Source organism: Homo sapiens, chromosome 5, assembly GCF_000001405.40.
Source record: "Homo sapiens chromosome 5, GRCh38.p14 Primary Assembly".
Taxonomy (NCBI): domain Eukaryota; kingdom Metazoa; phylum Chordata; class Mammalia; order Primates; family Hominidae; genus Homo; species Homo sapiens.
This window is the reverse complement of record NC_000005.10, coordinates 78,918,635-78,939,080: the sequence shown is the minus strand read 5'-3', so window position 1 is coordinate 78,939,080 and position 20,446 is coordinate 78,918,635. Positions and strand designations below refer to the sequence as shown.

General features: G+C 41.4%; 1 protein-coding gene across 10 annotated transcripts in view; it reads left to right on the top strand.

Moving 5' to 3' along the window:
* Window positions 1-20,446, top strand: part of ARSB (arylsulfatase B) — a 208,750-nt gene that overhangs the window by 46,878 nt on the left and 141,426 nt on the right. Inside the window, exon 6 of one of the 10 annotated variants that reach the window (XM_047417180.1) lies at window positions 41-595. The exons of the other annotated variants lie outside the window; for them this stretch is intronic. Within the exon in view, the coding sequence (XP_047273136.1) occupies window positions 41-138 (98 nt within the window). The 3' untranslated portion in view covers window positions 139-595. Of the gene's footprint in view, window positions 1-40; window positions 596-20,446 lie in introns of those variants that run through there. 10 annotated transcript variants of the gene reach the window in all.

Below are 20,446 nucleotides of genomic sequence, written 5' to 3'. Positions count from 1 at the left end.
AGTAGTGCATCAGAGTGCATAGATTCATAGTACACATGAGACGGAGAGCAGAAGTGGTTTGGTTGTCACAGTGACTTGAGGGTGAAGTTTCCATTTAGTGAACAGGCATCTGCAGTGCTCAGGCCAGTCCTGCAGTGAAGTGTCCTGCCTCAGATGTCAGTAGCACAACCATTAAGGGACAGTGACCGGATCCTGTTCAATAACACATTTCTACTTAGACAAATAGAGCAATTTATTGCAGAGTCTAAACTTTTAGCACTTATTATCTGAGCTTTCACAATATTACATGTGATTTAATACTCAAATGGAGTTAATAATCTTAACTAATTCCTCTAAATCTTACGTCCCTTTTCCCCTTACATATAAGAATTTCCTTCAAAACTGGTAGTTGGCAAAGAGAGAGCTCATTCAAGGTTTTAAATATACTTATGCAATTGGCAGACTTATAAAATATTATAGAAATTCTGTGCCAGGAACAAAGTTATATGTGCTAGGAAACCAATCTCACTGGGTTCTTCAGACACTTAAATGAATTTCTGACAAAGCTAAGGAAAAGCTGTTATGTGAATAAATCAGTGAGTGTGTCCACATTCTATTACTCTTTGCAATTATGCATTTATTTGGCGCGTCTATCATAGAGGAAAATTACAACCCATGCCTCAGAATAATGAGACTTGAATGAACTTTTCCATAGCCAGTCATTAATTCATGCCACCTCTTTAGATTTCACCTGTTAATGTCCACACTGAGAGCATGTTGGATCACTTTAAAATTTTATTAGTAATAGGTACTAATTTGTTGATTATTTTATTGAGTGAAAATAATAACCAATACATTTTACTGAACAGCCATGCTGATTTGGTGTCCCTGGCTGAGTTACAAAGCAGAGGTTCCAGGGCTGGGGATGGTAGTCCCACCTCCCCTCTTTGTCTCTGGCTGTTCTCAGGGATGTGTTGCCCTTTGGGTACTCGTGTTGCTTCCCATGGGTTAAAGCATGGGCAGGCCTCCTGCCAGGGAACCCAGGATGGTGGGGAAGCTGGTTGTTTACCTCCATCTCACTTTTTCCAGTGTAGAAACCATGAGTTGGGCCACAGTGGGTGGGGGGTGTAGCAGATATGGACATTTGATTCTTTTACCATCTCCTCAGAGTTTTTCACTTCTCTGTGACCCTGGAAATGGAATCATCCTCATGTTTGAGTTCTGCGATGTTGCTGGTGATAATCTTGGCACCTTATATTTGTTTTGGTTTTCTGTGGAGAGGAGTGAACCTAGATTGTGTCTGTGTTATCATTTTGGAACTAGAAGTTCCGAAATCAATAACCAATACATTTTAAAACCACCCCCACCCCGCACCAAAGGGTCTTGCATTTGTATTCTCTGTGTCAAACCATTGAATTCATAATCCCAGAGTCGAAGGAAAAAATGCCTCTCAATCTCTATGTTTATCAGATCTTCAATGTTTTATTATAGTACTTAATATATACTATGCTATAATGTCTTATTGTTGATATTATGAACTTTTAGCAGGAGAAACATGAAGTAGTCATGATTTTCACAATTCTGTGAGAAGAGAGCACTGTGGCCTTTCTATGAGTTTATAATTAATGAATATATATATTCATTATATATATAAGATATATATATCATATATATGATATATATATCTTACATATATATATCTTACATATATATGATATATATATCTTACATATATATATCTTACATATATATGATATATATATCTTACATATATATATCTTACATATATATGATATATATATCTTACATATATATATCTTACATATATATGTAAGATATATATATATCGAACTTCCTTGAACTGAGCATATTTATTGACTAAATTGCAAGAAACTTTCCAATTTGTTTGGGTTTACTTTAATCTCATCTTTTGCACTCCATTTTGAAGGTCACATTTAAGATGAATCCGTTTCTTATATTTTATGCTCCTCTCAGAACTCACTGGAGCCAAAATTCTCTGTGAGGCAAGAGCTATGTTATGTTGGACAGGCTGCACTGGAGGATGAAGCAAAATGAAAAGTAGATTCTATGTAGAAATAATCACCTGGAAACTACAGTGACAGCAAGAAGAAGGAGCTGAAATAAATTCAGGTTGTCACAAGCTGCTAAAAAAATGCATTTACTTACATTGCTTCTTATCTGGTACCCATATCTGCTGTCTCCTACAGTCGTCTAGCCAAATATTTAAAGATATAGAATCTACAAAGACAAACTAATTATTAATGTGTCTGTGAACTCTGCAAACAAACATTATTGAATGCATTACTGTTAGGACTCCTATTTGGACAAGTAGCTAGGTGAGCCCTGTCTAAGCATAAAGACCTATGCAGGGCTTATCAAACTTCAAGACTCTGCTGACTAGAGATGCAAAATAAAATCATGAGGGAATTAGCAGGCACCAGTGAGACCTGCAGGCTTTGAGAAATCTCTTGAGGTAAGTGAGAAAGACAGCTTCCTATGTGAGCAGAGGTTCATTTATTTTGATTCAAGTTAAGGGTTAAGGGCAACTTGACATTTTGTATTACACCTATCCCTTCCCCACCCCTCTTTTTTTTTTTTTCTTAGGAGTTGTAAGGATCTTACAAGATCATCTGATCTTAGAAAGAAATAAAGACCCTGGCCAGGCACAGTGGCTCGCACCTGTAATCCCAGCACTTTGGGAGGCAGAGGCAGGCAGATCACTTGAGGTCAGGAGTTCGAGACCAGCCTGGCCAACATGGCAAAACCTTATGTCTACTAAAAATACAAAAATAACCCAGCATGATGCCTTGTGCCTGCAATTCCAGCTACTTGGGAGGTTGAGGCAGGAGAATCGCTTGAACCCGGGAGGCGGAGGTTGCAGTGAGCTGAGATAGCGCCACTGCACTCCAGCCTGGGCAATAGAGTGAGAATCCACCAAAAAAAAAAAAAAAGAGAGAGAGAGAGGAAGGGATGGAGGGAAAGAGAGAGAGGCGGGGAGGAAGGGAAAGAGAGGGAGGGAGGGAGGGAAAGAGAGAGGGAGGGAGGTGGGGGGGGAGAGACAGAGAGAAAGACAGAAAGAAAAGAAAGGAGGAAAGAAAAGGAAGGAAGGAAGGGAAGGAGAGAAGGGGGGAGGGGAGGGGAGGGGAGTGGAGGAGAGGGGAGGAGAGAGAACGAAAAATACCCAGAGAGGGACGTTGGGACTTTTGTAAATACTCAGGAGGCAGATGGCCTGAGTCCAACACTCACTGATGCCTATGCAATCTTGGGTAAGATACTTAAACTTCCAGTGCCTTATTTTCTTCATCAGCAAAGTGTGGATAAAAATTATAACTACCCGATAGTACTGATGAGATTGCAGCACTTCCTGACACATACTGAGTGCTTTATTGTTATTAGGTTGTGTGATATAATAATAGCTAAGTGGCTAGAGATTAAACCATTTCTAGCCTTTGGTCTCCGGTTTGCTTTTTATTTGTTTTTATGGCTTCTGTTTCCTCTTGTTACTCTCATCAGGCTATTTGCTACTACCTATGCTTATTATTCATTCATTCATTCACTTGTTCACTCATCAGCGGCACACCTGCCACGGGCCAAGCTCTCTGCTAGGCCCTGGGAAACAGTAGGGAATGAGGCTGACTATGCACAGGACGAAGTGGCTTATTTCCTAATTCAATAGTCTGTTAATGAGCATCAGGAATGTCAAGAATCCTCCTTCTTCTACTGAAGATGGTTAGCAGCCTGTAACAATTATTATGACACATTTTTCATTTATATTTTAGCTTCTGAAAATCATGAGGAATTATTTTTTAAAGCAGTCTTTGATTTTGATTACTGAGAATACAATATGTTTTGAGAACCTCATTATTTCCTCTGATACTTTCTTCTTTTCTTCATATTTCTTATATTCTTTATGTTTAAATTGAAGGTGATTTATTATGCAAGCTATTGGATATGATTTTGGAGTTTTTTGTACCATTAATTATTGAGGGAGCAAAGTTGAAATTCTGCTTTTAATTCATCTCCTTTTTTTGAAAAATGTATGACTTAAAAATGAAATTAAATAATCAAAAATTAAATGTGATGCTTAAAGGTCATTTTGTTTAAAGTGATGAATGCTAGTTTACCATATACTACTAGAAAAATCAAAATTATATAATCTATTTGCCATGTATTATTATTTAATTTTAATAAATATTTATGGTTTCATAAATATACAAGGTTCTTCCTAAAGTTATCTATCTACCACATTTTCTCATTTATTTATTTATTTTTATTTTTTATTTTGGAGACAGAATCTCGCTCTGTCACCCAGGCCGTAGTGCAGTGGCGTGATCTCAGCTCATTGCAACCTCTGCCTTCCCAGTTCAAGTAATTCTCCTGCCTCAGCCTCCACCTCACAAGTAGCTGGGATTACAGGTGCCCACCATCACGCCTGCCAAATTTTTGTATTTTTAGTAGAGACAGGGTTTCACCATGTTGGCCAGGCTGGTCTCAAACTCCTAGCCTCAGGCAATCCACCTGCCTTGGCCTTCCAAAGTAACATTTTCTCTTTCATTAACTATTCATTCATTTTCCTATTTTTTAACTCTGAAAGTTCTTAAGTATATATATTATTATAATATCAGCAATCATATTTATAACAAAATATTAACCATTAATGATTGTAGTATTTTATTTTTATTATACTAAACAGCTATACTTTGATTAAAATTGTAACATATATAGTAAAGGACATAGGAGGTTTTTTGCTCCAAATGACATCCAGAATGCTTATCTATATTTGAAAGAGACTATTCAGATATTAATACTAACACCAAATAATGTGCCTTGTTTTACTGTGATGTAGCTACACTGATTATCTGTGCTGGTAAACTGTACCTCACCATTATTGATGTTCCAGGATGCCAGAAATGGCATTAAAGTAAGCATTGGGCTATTTGGTCTTCTAGGGCTAATGCAGAGACCATTTGGGTTTTTTGGGAGAACTCAACTCCCTGTGGTCCTATGACCAAGACCCTCATTGTCTGGCTGTCAGCTTAAGGCTCATTCTAGCTTCTGGAGGCTTCCCCTTATTCTTTGACTTTCTCCTTCCACCTTCAGAGCCTTTAACAGTGGGTTGAGTCCTCCTCATGTTTTGAATCTCTCCTCCTTTTTCTTCTCTCTCGTCACTCTAGTCTATTCTTCCTTCTTTAACTTTTAGAGCTCATAACCTATGCCCTCTCCAATAATCCAGGATAATCTCCCTATATTTAGGTCAGCTAGTTAGCAACTTCAATTCCATGGCAACTTTAACTCCCCGTTGCCATGTAAGGTAACATATTCACAGGTTCTGAGGTTAGGACATCTTTGGGGACCATAATTCCATGCAGTCACTTTGGAATGATTGAAATTTTTTAGTATTCTTTCTGATCACCTCCCATCCTCTACTAGTTCTTTTCCTAGGAGAAACATTCACCACACATGCAAATGCTCGTCCTAATACTTGTGTGATAGTCCCAGTGTCCCCATCCACAAGGCAGCTCAGCAGACTTCTCTGAAAAACAGACAATAGCGACTCTATCGCCATTGACCTCCACAAAAAAAAGTAATTGTTGTGGGCCTGGGAATAATTGTTTAAAATATTGTGACTTGTGAGTGACTGTGAAGATAAGAACAACTTTGGGCAAATAGATGCTTTTAACAGCATCACACCTCAGAGCCTTTGAAACTTGAGCGGGAGCTGGCTCTAGTTTTCTTGGGGATCCATGGACTGATTTCTTCTACTTAGGGATTTTGTTGTAAATCCAGAAAAATACGTAGGAAGCTGTAAACGATTATAAAAATTCAGGCCCATTCTTCAATCCATGGGTATATATTTGACACCTTGGGAACTTGCATTAATACTTTTTCGGTAAAATAAAAACCTCAACTCACCTTCATTTATTGAGCATCTTCTGTGTGATGAGCAGTGTCACCTCTGTGTTTACGCACATATAAAAGTTCCAGGTTCTGCTTTCAAGAGTTTACATTCTTATATGAGCAGTAAGGCTAGCTATCCAACCCACTTGCTAATAGTGTAAGACTTTATACAACTAATTTCTAAATGGTGTGACATTGACAATGACAGTAAGTGCTGTTTCGTAGTAGGGAGGGGAAATATGAGTGGAGTTGTGTGAGAAGACTTCACAGAGGAGCTGGGGCTTGAGCTGTTGGCGGAAGGATGCTAGAGTTTGAATAGGCAGAGAGAGAGAGAATGGTCCATTCCAGATGCCTCCATGGAGAAAATAATGGAGAATGATTATGACAGTAACAACCAAAAATTTATGAGTACTTCCTGTAACCTAGTTGTTGTGCCAAGCACTTTACATGTATCTACCCATTTAATAGGTACTACTATTATCCCCAATTTCTAGATGAAGAAGTAGGTGCTTAGAGAGTAATATAACTCATTCAAAGCATAGCACTTCCTAAGTGGAGGAATGGAGTCAAACTCAGGCCTGTCTGATTTCAGAGCTCAAGCTTATAATCACTGTGTCAGTAGGCTGTGATCCAGGTCAGCTTAGAGTATGGGAGCCATGCAGAGAAATCCTGGATAATTGAAGTTCTAGAAAGATAGAGCTGGAAAGGGTTTTAGAGACAATCCCCACACAATGTTTTCATTTTAAAAACAGAGACCCAGAGAGGCTAAGTGCAACCACTTATGTTAGAATGGAGACTTAGCCTTGTCTCTTACACTTGTCCTCTTACCACAGTTAGGTGAGTCCATCTGATAATGATGCAGAAAGGTTAGCGTTGCCTTGATGACTGTCAGAAGGCAGCTATAGGCTGCCTCAGTCACATGGGAGGTAAAGCGGTATCTGACATAATACCCCTGGGAATGGATTCCACCATGGGAGAATGTAGTTCACTGAATTCCAACTAAAACAAAGAGCTATTAGACTGCTCGTGACTTTTTGGCTGAAGTATGCCTTTTTGATACATATGCAGCCATCTTTTGGAATTGGGTGAAAATCAGTGTATTAGTCCATTCTCACACTGCTATAAAGAAATACCTGAGCTGGGTAATTTATAAAGGAAAGAGGTTTAAGAGCCAGTTCCACATGGCTGGGGAGGCCTCAGGAAACTTACAATCACGGCGGAAGGGAAAGCAAGCACATCTTACATGGTGGCAGGAGAGAGAGAGAAAGTGAAGGGGGAAGAGCCCTTTATAAAACCATCAGCTCTTGTGAGAACTTACTCACTATCATGTGAACAGCATGGGAGAACCAGCCCCCATGATCCAGTCACCTCCCACCAGGTCCCTTCTTCAACACCTGGGGATTACAATTCGAGATGAGATTTGGGTGGGGACACAGCCAAACCATACCAATCAGCATAGGACAAACTATATTTGCCAAAGAATAATGAAATTTTGTAGAGTCATGTTTTCATATCACTTCATGTGAAAACATGACTCTCTACAAAATTTCATATTCTTTTCTAGCTTGCATTCTACCCAGAAACCAGTGGTAAAAATGGGCTGATTGTGTTTTTTATCTTTCTCAAGTTCTCCTCCCCTTCCAGTAGAAATATTAATGAGCAGTGAAATGGCCAGAGACAGGCAGCTGGAGGAAGATGGGGGCACTAAGTGAGGAATATGCATTCATGAATGAGCGGAAAATAGATGCTGGTGCTTTTGGTCTGGAATCTTTTTAACATTGTCATTAGTAATAGATTCAAGATAGACATTTAGGTTTCAAAGGGGGCACCAGTATTATCAGTTGAAAAAACAAAAGTGATGCATTGTTTATACTCATCTCTTCTAGAATGTAAAAATGAGGATTTACCCTGTAGTAATATTTCTAAGAAAAAAAATGAAAGTTGGTTAGATTTTAGCTACTAAAGAACCAAAACAGACTAATACTTTCCCATTTTACTCTCCTTGTGTGGGGTTCTCCTTGAGGGCAGTGGTAACTGCTGCACATATGTGTGCAATATATTTGTATCAAGGCATTCGCTCCAGAAAACGAGAGAGAGATTTCCCGGGCTAGCCTTTGTTGGCATTCTGTCCCAGATTCCTCTCCGCTTTGGGGTTATACAAAGATTACTGTGGTTCTCTGACTTGATTTGAAGCTCTGGCTTAGTCAGCTGAGGAAAGACTACAGTCGCCTTCCTCCCCAGGAGTTTATCAGAGACTTGCTCTTCCGTGGAGGGCCTGGGAACGCAGTGCCTAAGCTCTTGGTGGGGGACCACCCCGCTGTGCTTGGCTTCAAACAGGCTGCTGTCCATTGCTTTCAGAAGCATGAGATTGCCCCATCAGGCTTAAAAACAATAATAAAAATATATTTGAAAAAAATCCCCAGTCGCTTCTCTTGCTGTCTTTGGCAGTTAGGTACAAAGCATCAACAAAATGTTGTATACAGAAATTCTGCCTTCCAGGCTTGTTCCTTTCTTACAGAACAATCCTTAACCTTGTAGGACTCTTTTTTCATGTTTTCTTAATGAGAAAATATTTCAGAGATTATTGGCACCACAGGTTTATTCCTTTCCAGTGGTTTACACTCTTAACTGACTGTAATCTTTATGATCTTTTTTTGTATTTTTCTTTCACAGTATGGGCCATATCTAATCAGCCTCTCCTACCGTGACTATTCAAAGAAAAGGATCTTTTTTTCTTTTTCTTTTTCTTTTGTTTCCATCTCAGAACACTTTCTTGTCAATATCTTCTTTTTAAAAAATGAGGATTGTTGTAACAAATTTAGCAAACATTAAGAATGACATCCATTGCCGTGGAAGCTACCAAAAAAGTTATATACCTGTCCTCAAAATAGCCTGTGATCTGGTGAACTATTCAGATACATGCAAATTAGTCAAAATATAAAAGAAATAGAGGTGGGGAACAAAGGGAGTGCTGTGTTTGCGCTGACAGTGCTGGCCGTAGGTTGCCATTTTAAACTCCCACTTTGGTGTCCCCTTTTGTTTGAAGGTCCCTCTGGAGTCCAGAGGTAATAGAGCAGGCTGAGTAGTGGGGCCTAAGGAAAACTCAGGGCTGCAAATAACCCTGTGTACAGTGCATTCAGATCACATCTGTGAGTCGCTGGAGGGAGTGGCCTGACCGGTTGGTGTCTATGGTGGGTTGTGATCATCAGGCTGGTCCCAGGTGAGGTCACCTGACCACTCATTATTTTCTTTTTGGTAACAGAAATTAGTCAGTTAACAAGCATAACTTTAACAAGCATAACTCTACTTGTTATTTAAGACAATGTACTGTCCTGAGGAGTTCTGAAGATCAGTAAGATACAGTCTCCCTCTTTTTTTTTTTTTTTTTTTGAGACAGAGTCTTGCTTTGTCACCCAGGCTGGAGTGCAGTGGCGCGATCTCGGCTGACTGCAATCTCAGCCCCCAGGGTTCTAGTGACTCTCCTGCCTCAGCCTCTCTAGTAGCTGGGATTACAGGCACCCACCACCACACTGGGCAAATTTTTTTGTATTTTTAGTAGAAACGGGGTTTTGCTATGTGGGCCAGGCTGTTTTCTAACTCCTGTCCTCAGGAGAACCACCTGTCTCGGCCTCCCAAAGTGCTAGGATTACAGGAGTGAGCCACTGCGCCGGGCCAGTCTCCTCTCTTAAAGCACACCTAGAATCATGGTAGTGGTCTCTAATTCAGTGTGAGGCACAAGTCTCAGATTCCTCTGTGGGTGAAGAGGGGGTCAGGCAAGTGTGTGGTGTGGAGATTTCCTTTCCCGTGTCTGAGGCCATGATCCATCCCCTGTAAAGACTGTGTTGATTCCTTGCCCTCTAGACTGAAAATCACTTAGTATGAGAAGAAATGTTACCAAAGGGAGTGTGAATTGTGAAGGAGGGACCAAAAACATGTCAGGCACTAGTCTAGCACAATGCCTAGCAAAGAACTCGGGGACTGTGTGAGGTACAGGAGTATGCGTGGATTCAAGATTCAGCTACACATCTGCAGGAGCCACGGTTCCCCAGGTTAAGGGCAGAACAGAAAGATGAAGTCTGGACAGCAGAGGGGTCATTGAGGAGCTTCTTAGGGGAGGCGGGACATCCATTAAACTGTGCTTGAGTGATTGTTAAGATGTAGGTAGGCAATGGACACGGAGAGCAGGACGTTTTGGGCATGGGGAGTGAGCAGGGATGTAGGAAGAGGAAGTGAAGGTGTGTTCTGAGCATGTTGACTAGGCCTGTCCAGCCTTTGGTGTTCAAAGAGGCACACAAGACCACAGGAGAAATGGGGCACATCTTCCTGGAGTGTTCATTTTGCTTGAATATATAGAAGGGAAAATAAATAATTTATCTGGTTAATAATTTAAAACATTGTTATATTAAAACAGGCAAATTATGGAAGAGAATACAATTAATTTCATGGATTTTTGTTAAAGTTCAAAATCTCAGGTTTCCATTGTTTTCTTTTGATTCTTCGATGGAAGAATTTTAAATTCTTTAAAGGAGATCAACTTTATTCCTTCATTCACAAAAATAGCAAAAGCAGCCGGGCATGGCGGCTCACGCCTGTAATCCCAGCACTTTGGGAGGCCGAGGTGGGCGGATCACCTGAAGTCAGCAGTTCGAGACCAGCCTGGCCAACATGGCGAAACCCCATCTCTACTAAAAATATAAAAAATTAGCCAGATGTGGTGGTATGCCCCTGTAGTCCCAGCTACTCAGAGGCTGAGGCAGGAGAATCGCTTGAACCTGGGAGGCGGAGATTGCAGTGAGCTGAGATGGCACCACTGCACTCCAGCCTGTGTGACAGAGCAAGACTCTGTCTCAAAAAAAAAAAAAAAAAAAAAAAAAAAAGCAAAAGCAAATGGCAATCACAGTTGCCCACAGATCCTTACTTACATCATGAGGCACGAGCTATGGTTTCCCTTAGCTCCCTGTGGGCAGTGGGGAAGCAGTCTAGCATGTGGCCATGGGGTTTGCTTGGCTGTTAGACAGCCCTCTTCAGGTCCCAGGCCCTTTGGACCCATCATACTCATCCTGTGCTTCTTGACACTGGCAAATCTTGATGATGGTTAATGTGACTCCCCGAAGGATGTGCCTCCATCCCATGTGACAGATATGAAGTCTGTCTGCGCACAGTCTGGGCCATGGAGTCTGCACTCCTAAGAATGCACAGAGGCCTGGCTGCCTTGGTCTCTTGAGATAATGAAATTAAGAGTCTTCAGAGGCATTTCTTGAGTCTTCAATTTCATCTCCTTTCTCCCCTTCTGGTCCTAAGCATGACATTCCTGTCTCAGCTTTTTCTGGCCCCCTGCTGTCTCTGGATTCTGGTCTTGTGAGTTTCCTTTGTTTGGGTTGTGAATCATTAGGCAATTTAGATAACAGGTTCTGTTTTTCCTAGGCAGAGGCAAACTCCTCTGGTTCAAAGCTGCCTCTGGCCTTTTCCCAGCTTTGAGGAAGCTGCATACAGTCTCTCCAAGCTAGTGTGGCATCAGAGGCCAATCAGAGGCAGAATTGGTGGTGGGTGAAAGAGCCTCTAAGCCTTTCTTTACTATCTCTGTTTTGACTTCTATTCTTTCCGGTGTGTGTTGGATTGACCTAAGATTTTCTTTGTTAGAACACCAAACTGCCCAGTGTTATAGATAGTGTTTTTATACTTTATCTACTCATAAATTAAAGGAATTAAGAAAATGGCAGGAAGAGCTCAGTTATTCAATACTAAATAGTGCCCTGGCCTTCATTATTCAGGGGAGAAAAGGGCCTGGGTCTGTGCTGTTCAACAGGTAGCCACTAGTCATACATGGCTATTGAGCATTTGAAATGTGGTAAAGTTGAATTGAGATGTGCTGTAAGGGTAAAATACTGAATTTCAAAGATGATATGAAAAAATAATGAAAAATAATACCTCCATAATTTTTATATGAATTACATATTGAAATGATAATATTTTTATATATTGGGTTGAATAAAATATATTATTAAAATTAATTTCAGCCAGGCAGGCGTGGTGGCTCACGCCTGCAATCCCAGAACTTGATCACTTGAGCCCAGGAATTAGAGACCAGCCTTGGAAACAGGGTGAAACCCCATCTGTACAAAAAGATACAAAAATTAGCTGGGTGTGATGGCACATGCCTGTGGTCCTAGCTACTCGGGAGGCTGAGGTGGGAGGATTGACTGAGCCAGGGAGGTCAAGGCTGCAGTGAGTGGTGATCATGCCATTGCACTCCAGCCTGGGCAACAGAGCAAAACCCTGTCTCAAAAAAAATTAATTTCAACAGTTTATTTTTATCTTTTCATGATCTGGCCACTAGAAGATTTTAAATTACATTTGTGGCTCACATTTTGTTTCCATTAGACAGTGCTGCTTTAGATGGTAGCTTCATAATTGCAGTAATTCATACCTCTTGAGAGTTCTCCAGGGATTATTTTGTTGAAGATTTTCTCTTGCAATGATCAGGCTGGGTGAGAATAACACATAGTAGACTGTAAGAGTCTTCAAGGCAAAAGCTGTGTCTGTTTAATGTACTTTGGAGGCAGGAGTAGTAAAGTCATTTTGCTTAGGAAACTCATAAACTGGCTTCGAAGGCAATTCCAAAACCAGTTTTGAGCATCATCTTTGAAATAAGGGTATTGCCTCCCAGTGACTCCATTGAAAGATGCAATTCATTTGGTTGCATAAGACTGGGGTTGGAATGTTAAAGAAAAAAAAAAAGTGGGGGAAGCAAGTTTCATTTCTTATAGTCCATACCTCCAGTGGGGACTCAGCATGTAGAAAGGCACTTGGACAGGAACCACGATCATACCTATTGTTATTTCATCAATGCAGAATGCAACATAATGGAGGCAGAATGGGGAAAGAAAGCCTTTCCAGCTGCTTCAAAGAAAACCCAGATGCTTAACTTGTTTGCTGTGATGTGCTATCCTTTCTTCCTTGGTGCCAGAAGAGAAATTATTACAACATATAAAAAATAGGATTATGGCCGGAAGAAAAGTTATTATAACATACAACAAATAGGATTGTGGGATCCTGAATATGTTATTCAGGATCCATATTGTAAAACATATTTTCTTTGAAATTTTAATCATTAGAAACTATATAGTTCAAATATATTCTCAAGGCTAATCCATCCATATTCAGGAATCTTTCTTTTTTAATATTATAAAATCTTTCTATGGACAAACTCACGATTAGTAAAGTATTTCCCCATAAAATAGAAACAATCTTTTTTTCCAAAAAAGAGGGTTGTTATTATTAAGGTCTTTTAAAAATACTTTTTGTTCTGGAGCATGCTTTATCTTCTACTTCTCTGGGGTAGGTTAGAAATAATTATCACCGTTTTGTAAATCGGGAAATAAACACAGGGAAGTCATTTGTCGAAAAGCACAGGGGACCAGTGCCAGAAATGGTTTGAAAATTTAGATCTTTTACTTTCCATTTCAGGTGCTGCAATCATAGTATCACATGGCTATGTGAATAGTAAAGTGTCTTGTTTACGACAGAACATACTGTTCTGAAAAGTGGGGAGGTATATCTCATTTTTAGGGGCATTCCTTTTTCTTAAATTCTACCCTGTGCTTTGCTTAGTAATACAGTTATTTATAAAAATTTATAGAACTGTAACAGAGGTAAAGAATTCTCAATCTTGCTACTTCTTTCCTCCCAATAGTAATAAAAAGGATTTAGGCATCCTTGCTAGCTTCTCGGAGGCAAAGTCCCTGTGAAGCTATGAGACCTTCATTATCACATTCCCACTGCTTTGTCAGCTTATATTTGTGAGGAATTTAATCAGTTTTATTGCTGTATATGACTGGAAATGAATGGCATTTATTTTCTCTGCAGGGATTTATTTGCTTTTTTCCTTGGGTGGCTATTCCTTTGTTGATAATATTTTCCCAAGTCTTGAAGCACTAATTGATTTTGGGACTTAAGCAAGATCACTTTTTACATTGAATGCAGAAACTGTGTTCCTATGGATTAGGGCACGGTCTGTGTAGCCATCAACTGGAGATCCTGCTGAGAACTGTAAATGAGGAAGAAATTATGGGTCATGATAATAAGGTGTTCCAAGTCTCAAGATTCAGACAGGAGCAGACATAAACAGCCTCTTCCTTGGAGATATGCAACCAGTCAGCCAAGGTGTATTTTCTTAAGCATTGAGGCCTTGAAAAACATATGGAACTTTGAGAATATGTTTGCAGGTGTGAAAATAATGGTCGGTGGATCTTTCTCCCTGTCATGTATATATACAGTGTGTAGAGAGTAAGAGACACATTTTGGAAAAGAAAAATGATTTTAATTGTTGGTGTTTCAGGACAATGCTTTGCTTTTAAAGTTACATGTCATTATCTCAACCCCAATTCAGTCTATTCCCTGAAGCACATTCTCCTTGCTCTCTTACTAGTCTTAGCTTTGGGCATATATTGCTCATCGTAGGAACTTGGTAATAAACCTAGATTTAATCGTAACTCAAAGAATACATGAGGACTTTATATCACTTTTTGATTTCAAAGACTGCTCAAGTCAAATGACTGATACGGAAATGTACCAAAAAGATTCCAGGTCCAGTCAATTCCTTGGAAAATATTGTTAATAGTAGACTCAACTTGGCATGTTGGGAACAGGGAGAAGGTGGGAAGCCAAGGCTGGGCAAAGCCATAGATAGGAGGCTGAGCTGGCTATAGGACAGGCTCCAGAAAATTGACAAGGAGTCTGACTTATCACGGCCAAGTAGACATGGCAGGTTTAGGACCCATCTTGGAGAGACTGTGTAGCACAATGATTAAATCGGAATAGAGGCTCTGTAATTGTACAGACCTGAGGCTCAGGCCCTCATTCTACCACTTACTAATTTGGTGATATGGATAAATTACTTTTCTGAGCATCTGTTTTGTTATCTGCAAAATAGGGATAAAGCTTGCTCAGCGGACTATTGTGAGGATTAAATGAGAGAATTCACATAAAGCACCTAGCACCAGGCCTGGCATAAGCAGGAATTTAATAAATACAGCTATTATTATTATCTTCATCATCATCACTATCTGGGCTTTTGCCATTTTGCACTGGTTGGTGAGGATACTGCAGCAGTAATCTCTGGGCAATTACAAATATTATATCCATGTTTAGGTTCCGTAGGTCCAGGAAGAAGCAGGATCATATTCAGCCATGCTATGTGGACAGAGCCCAGCACCCCCTGGAAAAGGAGGTTCATAAGGGCTGGGCAGGCCTTGGAACCTCGCTTTCAGGAAACTGGAATGTACATTTGGAAAGCAGGCAGATGCCCACACATAATACTGTAGGGTAGCAGAGAAAACTGTAGACTCAACATGAAGCTGTCAGTCTCTAGGGCCTGAGCAGAGCTGAACCTATTCACTGAAGTCCTCAGAATTTGCAACTGGGTAGGATTGGGGCAAGCAGGAGCTAATGACTCAATAGCCAATTGCTGTCTTTAAATCTTACTGAAATTCTTAAAACTATTGAATGGCAGCATTTTAGTTTTAAGTCTTTTCCAGAATGTGAGGTAGGTATGTTATTCTCTGTTTTTCAGATGACGACGTGAGCTTAAGGGACTGTGATCCATAGTTAAAGCAAAAGCCACAATTGCATCCTTCAGCTCCAGGCTGTCATTTAGAAACCACACTTACTAAGACAGTGTCTCTTGTAGACGCGTCTATGCATCACTGCAGATGCTTGAAGCACCATATTTTGTTCCAGCTGCTGCTATGGTGACCAGGTCAGAGCAGGCTTTCGTGAGTTTCTCACAGGGGCAATCACAGTGCCTTGCCCTGAGCCCATGTTTTCTGACACTGAGGGGCTCACATGTGCATAACCCAGGTGTGCTGGGAGTCAGTGCCCATGGGGCCACACTTACTCATTGGGAACCAGTGGATGGATGTTTCCCCCATGGATCCCCCAGCTGTGAGATGAATCTTATTGGAATTCTCAAAGGGTCCCAGTGAGATGGAGCATGAGCCACCTGTGGCGGTGGTCAGCCAACTTGATAACACATCCAGGTGTTGCTTTTTCCCTCCCTCCCTGTTTGGCTCTCCCAGCCTTTCCCTCCTGCTCTCTGGGATCACTTCCAACATAAACTACCTACATGCAAACTTCTGCCTTTGGTCCAAGCAAAGATAATTTCAAAAAGCGTTTCCTTATAGTCACATGTTCATACTGACTCCCTTGTCCTGACCAACTCACAGCAGGTTGGAGCTTGAAAGATTAAGAATCTGTTATTATAGTCCAGGTGCGGTGGTTCATGCCTGTAATCCCAGCACTTTGGGAGGCCGAGGCGGGAGGATCACGAGGTCAGGAGATCAAGACCATCCTGGTCAACATGGTGAAACCCCGTCACTGCCCAGGGGCAGCTCCAGAAATGCTAAGAACCAAGGCCTGGAATCAGGGATATCAAGAGTCAGCTTGGTACTTTACCTCACTGTGGCTGAGCTGATGCTTAAGCTGCAAGACAAAAGTCCGCTTTACAATTCCCTCTCCTTTTCTCAAGCAGAAGACATCCCTCCTTATAGGCACCACAGCTGGGAATGTGCTGGGTCACACCTGAAGCCAGCCTGGCTCTGAATCCCGTTCAAGGCCTACTGCAAGTACTGCCTGGGTATTGCTGCTGACTATTCAGAGCCCAAGGGCTCTTAAGTTAGCAGGTGATGAATGCTGCCAGGACTGGGTTCTTCCCTTCAAGGTAGTGGGCTCCCTTCTGGCCCAGGATATATCTAGACATGTCCTCCAGGAGGTAGGGCCTGGAATGGGGACCTCAGGACTCTGTCTGGTGCCCTATCCTGCTGTGGCTGAGCTGGTATCCAAGTTGTTAGACAGAGGCCTCTTTAGTCATCCCTCTCCTCTTCTTGAGTGGAAAGAAGTAGTCTTTCCCAGGGCTGCGAGCTGCACTCCCTTGGCCATCCTAGCTGGTGTCTCAGTAGGTCACGTGCCCCCTCCTCCCCCCCCACCAAATCCACTGGCTCTAAGCCCAGCATGGTATTAGGATTTGCCTAGAAATTGCAGTCCTTGTACCCTGGACTACCTTAAAGTTTATTTAGAATCCCAGAGCACTTGAGCCCATGGTGGTGAGCCTTGCTGGAACTTCGATTCCAACCACTGGGATTGTTGATCCCCTCTGGCCAGGGCTGGTCTAAATGCTCCCTCCACGGGTGCCAGCTGAATTCTGCCGGTGTTGCTTTCCACTGTTTTAGGGCAGCACTGAGTTCCAGTGCACAGTCCCACAATCGCTACACCTTCCTTCCCCCAAGAACACAGATTCTGTCTCTGTGCCACGCAGCTGCTACTGGGGAGATGTGTGAGGCATGGCAGCAATTCGTGACTGTCTTTCCTACCCTCTTCAATGCCTCTTTTAGTGATATGAAGGAGACATTTAAGTGATATGTCTCAAGATATTTTTGACTTCCCTTTTGATTTCTTCTTTAACCCATTGGTTATTCAAGAGCATGTTGTATAATTTCCACATACTGTATTTGTGAATTTTCCAGATCTCTTCTGTTACTGATTTCTGGTTTCAAAGCATTGTGGTCAGAAAAGATACATGATATGATTTTAATCTTCTCCACATATGTAATTTTAAATAGCCACATTAAAAAACTAAAAAGAAACACGTGAAATTAATTTTAGTAATTAGATATTCCGTATATCCAAAATATTATTTCAGTTTATAATCAATATAAAAAGTTATTGATGAGATGTTTTACAGTCTTTTACACACACATATATACACATACATATGTATGTACATACACATATATGTGTGTGTATACACACACACACACGCACAGTCTGTTGTGTATTTTATACTTACAGAACACCTCAATTCAGACTAGCCACATTTCTAGCCGCATGTGCCCAGTGGGTATTGTTTTGAACAGCTCAGCTCTAAAGGAAGTGAGCTGGAAGATGGTTGGTGGTCATTGGAGAGTGAGACTTGAAACTGAGATTGTGGAGGGTTTGCAAATATTTATAATCTTAAGATCTAGGATACAACTCTGGGATTGAGTTTCTTTAGCAGAGTGGAAATTTAGATCATGGAAGGAGAAAAGGACAGGTCATTGAGCGTCCAGGTTTTGGGAAAGATCATCTGTGTCAGCTTTGAATTCATCAAGGTTTATGAGAGAGTGGAGAGACTGATAGGATGTTAGGTCTTAAAATCTTCAAAAGAGAATCTACAAACTCCTGGCAGGTCTGATCCAGGAGTTTGTAAATCCCTGTAATCAAGTAGTATAGTCTGATAGCATGGGCTTCTAACCTGGCGGGGCAGCAGTTAGAAAGGAGGGTGGGAAAAAGTTAGGAAGTGCAGTAACAAGCAACAAGGCTGCAGAGGAAGCAGTTGTCCTCTGGGGAGAGCCAGATCTCAATGTGAGCCAGAGGTTCTGGCTGTAAGGACTTCTGATGGTGATCTATGAGGAGCTGAAGCACAGAGGAATGGTTTTAGGAGTCAGATCACCAGATGTGCAGAGCTCTATGGGGACAAGAGTCCAGGTGCCGAGGGATGCTCACCCCATCCCCTGTGGTGGAGGTGTGTCCCCCACTGCTGTCCCAGCCTTATTGCCTTCTGAGGGTTCTGATAACCCGCCGCAGGTATGGCCTGTGGCTAGCAGGGTAGAGGACCACTAAGACCTAAGTCTCACAGTGTATCTTTCTACCCCTGACTTCCATCCTGTCTCCTGTTTGAAGTGTTGCTCAGATGACTGCACAGTAGTCTTATTCCAGATAAATGACTTCATCCAGAGTTCACTTTTAAATAATAATTTATTTTATTTTTTATTAGAGACAGTCTTGCTATGTTGCTCAGGCTGGTCTCAAACTCCTGGGTTCAAGCGATCCTCCCACCTTGGCCTCCCAAAGTGCTGGGATTACAGGTGTGAGCCACCGCATCCAGCCTATTTTATTTTTGAACCAACAGTGCACAAAGTACAAAATTTTAAAATGACAAGAGCATCTGAATGAAAAGTAAGTCTGCCTCCCTCCAGCCACCCAATTTCTTTTCTCAGAGAACACACTTGTTACCCTTTCTGGAATTCATTTGTAACAGGTGGCTCCTCTGTCCAAATTCCCTCCTCCTATCTCTTGGGGGTTTGGATGTGAAGCTGGCCTTTTTTTCCCTGAAAATGCATTCATGCTCCCTAGGACACTGGCTTGCCAAACAGGAGTCTGGGCACTTAGCAGCCAGTGCTCTGTGCAAACCAGCCAGTGCTCTGAATTCAGATGAGAGCTTTGTGTTTGCCTTATTGGAAAGCCCTTGATTCCTGGGCTTCTAGAGGTATGTATCACTCAAAATCTCTGCAGTTCTTTTAGGGTAAGTGAACGCTTTACTTCTTCATCTATTAGAAAATTATTCTCTCAGCAGGGTGCGGTGGCTCACTCCTGTAAACCCAGCTCACTCCTGTACTTTGGGAGGCCGAGGCGGGCAGATCATGAGGTCAGGAGTTCGAGACCAGCCTGACCAACATGGTGAATCCCCGTCTCTACTAAAAATACAAAAATTATCCGGGTGTGGTGGCACACACCTGTAATCCCAGCTACTCAGGAGGCTGAGGCTGGAGAATCACTTGAATCCGGGAGGCGGAGGTTGCAATGAGCCAAGATCGTGCCACTGCACTCCAGCCTGGGTGACAGAGCGAGACTCCCTCTCAAAAATAAATAAATAAATAAATAAATGAATAAATGAATAAATAAGTAACTCTCTCAGTGGTTCCTCAATGCAGGGCTGCACACTAAGCACACAAAAGTGAATCAAACTTGACCAAACTTGGGTATTTGGATCATACATGAACTCTGCCTGAAGTCCAATCCCAGGCTAGCTACTGGCACTGGCAGCTTCTCCACATTCAAGAACCACGGGGATGTTGCAAGTGCGCTGATGTTTGTGGTAAGCAGACATTAATGGAATAAGGACTATGTGGTCCCCACAGCTTGCCCTGTCATGATCATTCTCCAGTGTGGGTCACAGGTTCACCGGAACATCAGCTAACATGCTGTATAAAGTCACAGCAGGTGAGCCCACGAGGGAATATTGAGCTCCATTCTCTCTGCAACTCCACCTTCTTCTCTCAGATTGGAGAGTGGGGTTCCTAGCTTCCTGTATTGAAATTGTAGCCAATCAATAGGAAATCTCACACTTATGGAAAATCCCAAATCTTAATTGACTCTGTTCCTTATCCTCTATTACCAGTACTCAACTGCAGCATTTTATGTTGCTGTTGTCATGCAGAAGAGAAAGGATTAATCACGGTAACTTTCATCGGCAGAGGGGTGAAACAAATGAAAAAAATGTTCAGGCACTTAATGCTTCTGTGAAAACCCAATTAGCACCCCTTCATGGTTATAATTTCTAATTACTTTTTGAACTGAGAAAAAAATGTTCTTGCTAATTAGCTAATTATTTGGTAGTGACCTTTTGATAAAAATTGCTTTGACTCTAAAAATGTCTGAAGAAGAGTTACTTAATTTAATAAATCACTGTTATTCTAACATTTTAGAAAATCAGGCATTAAGAAGAGGTCTTGAA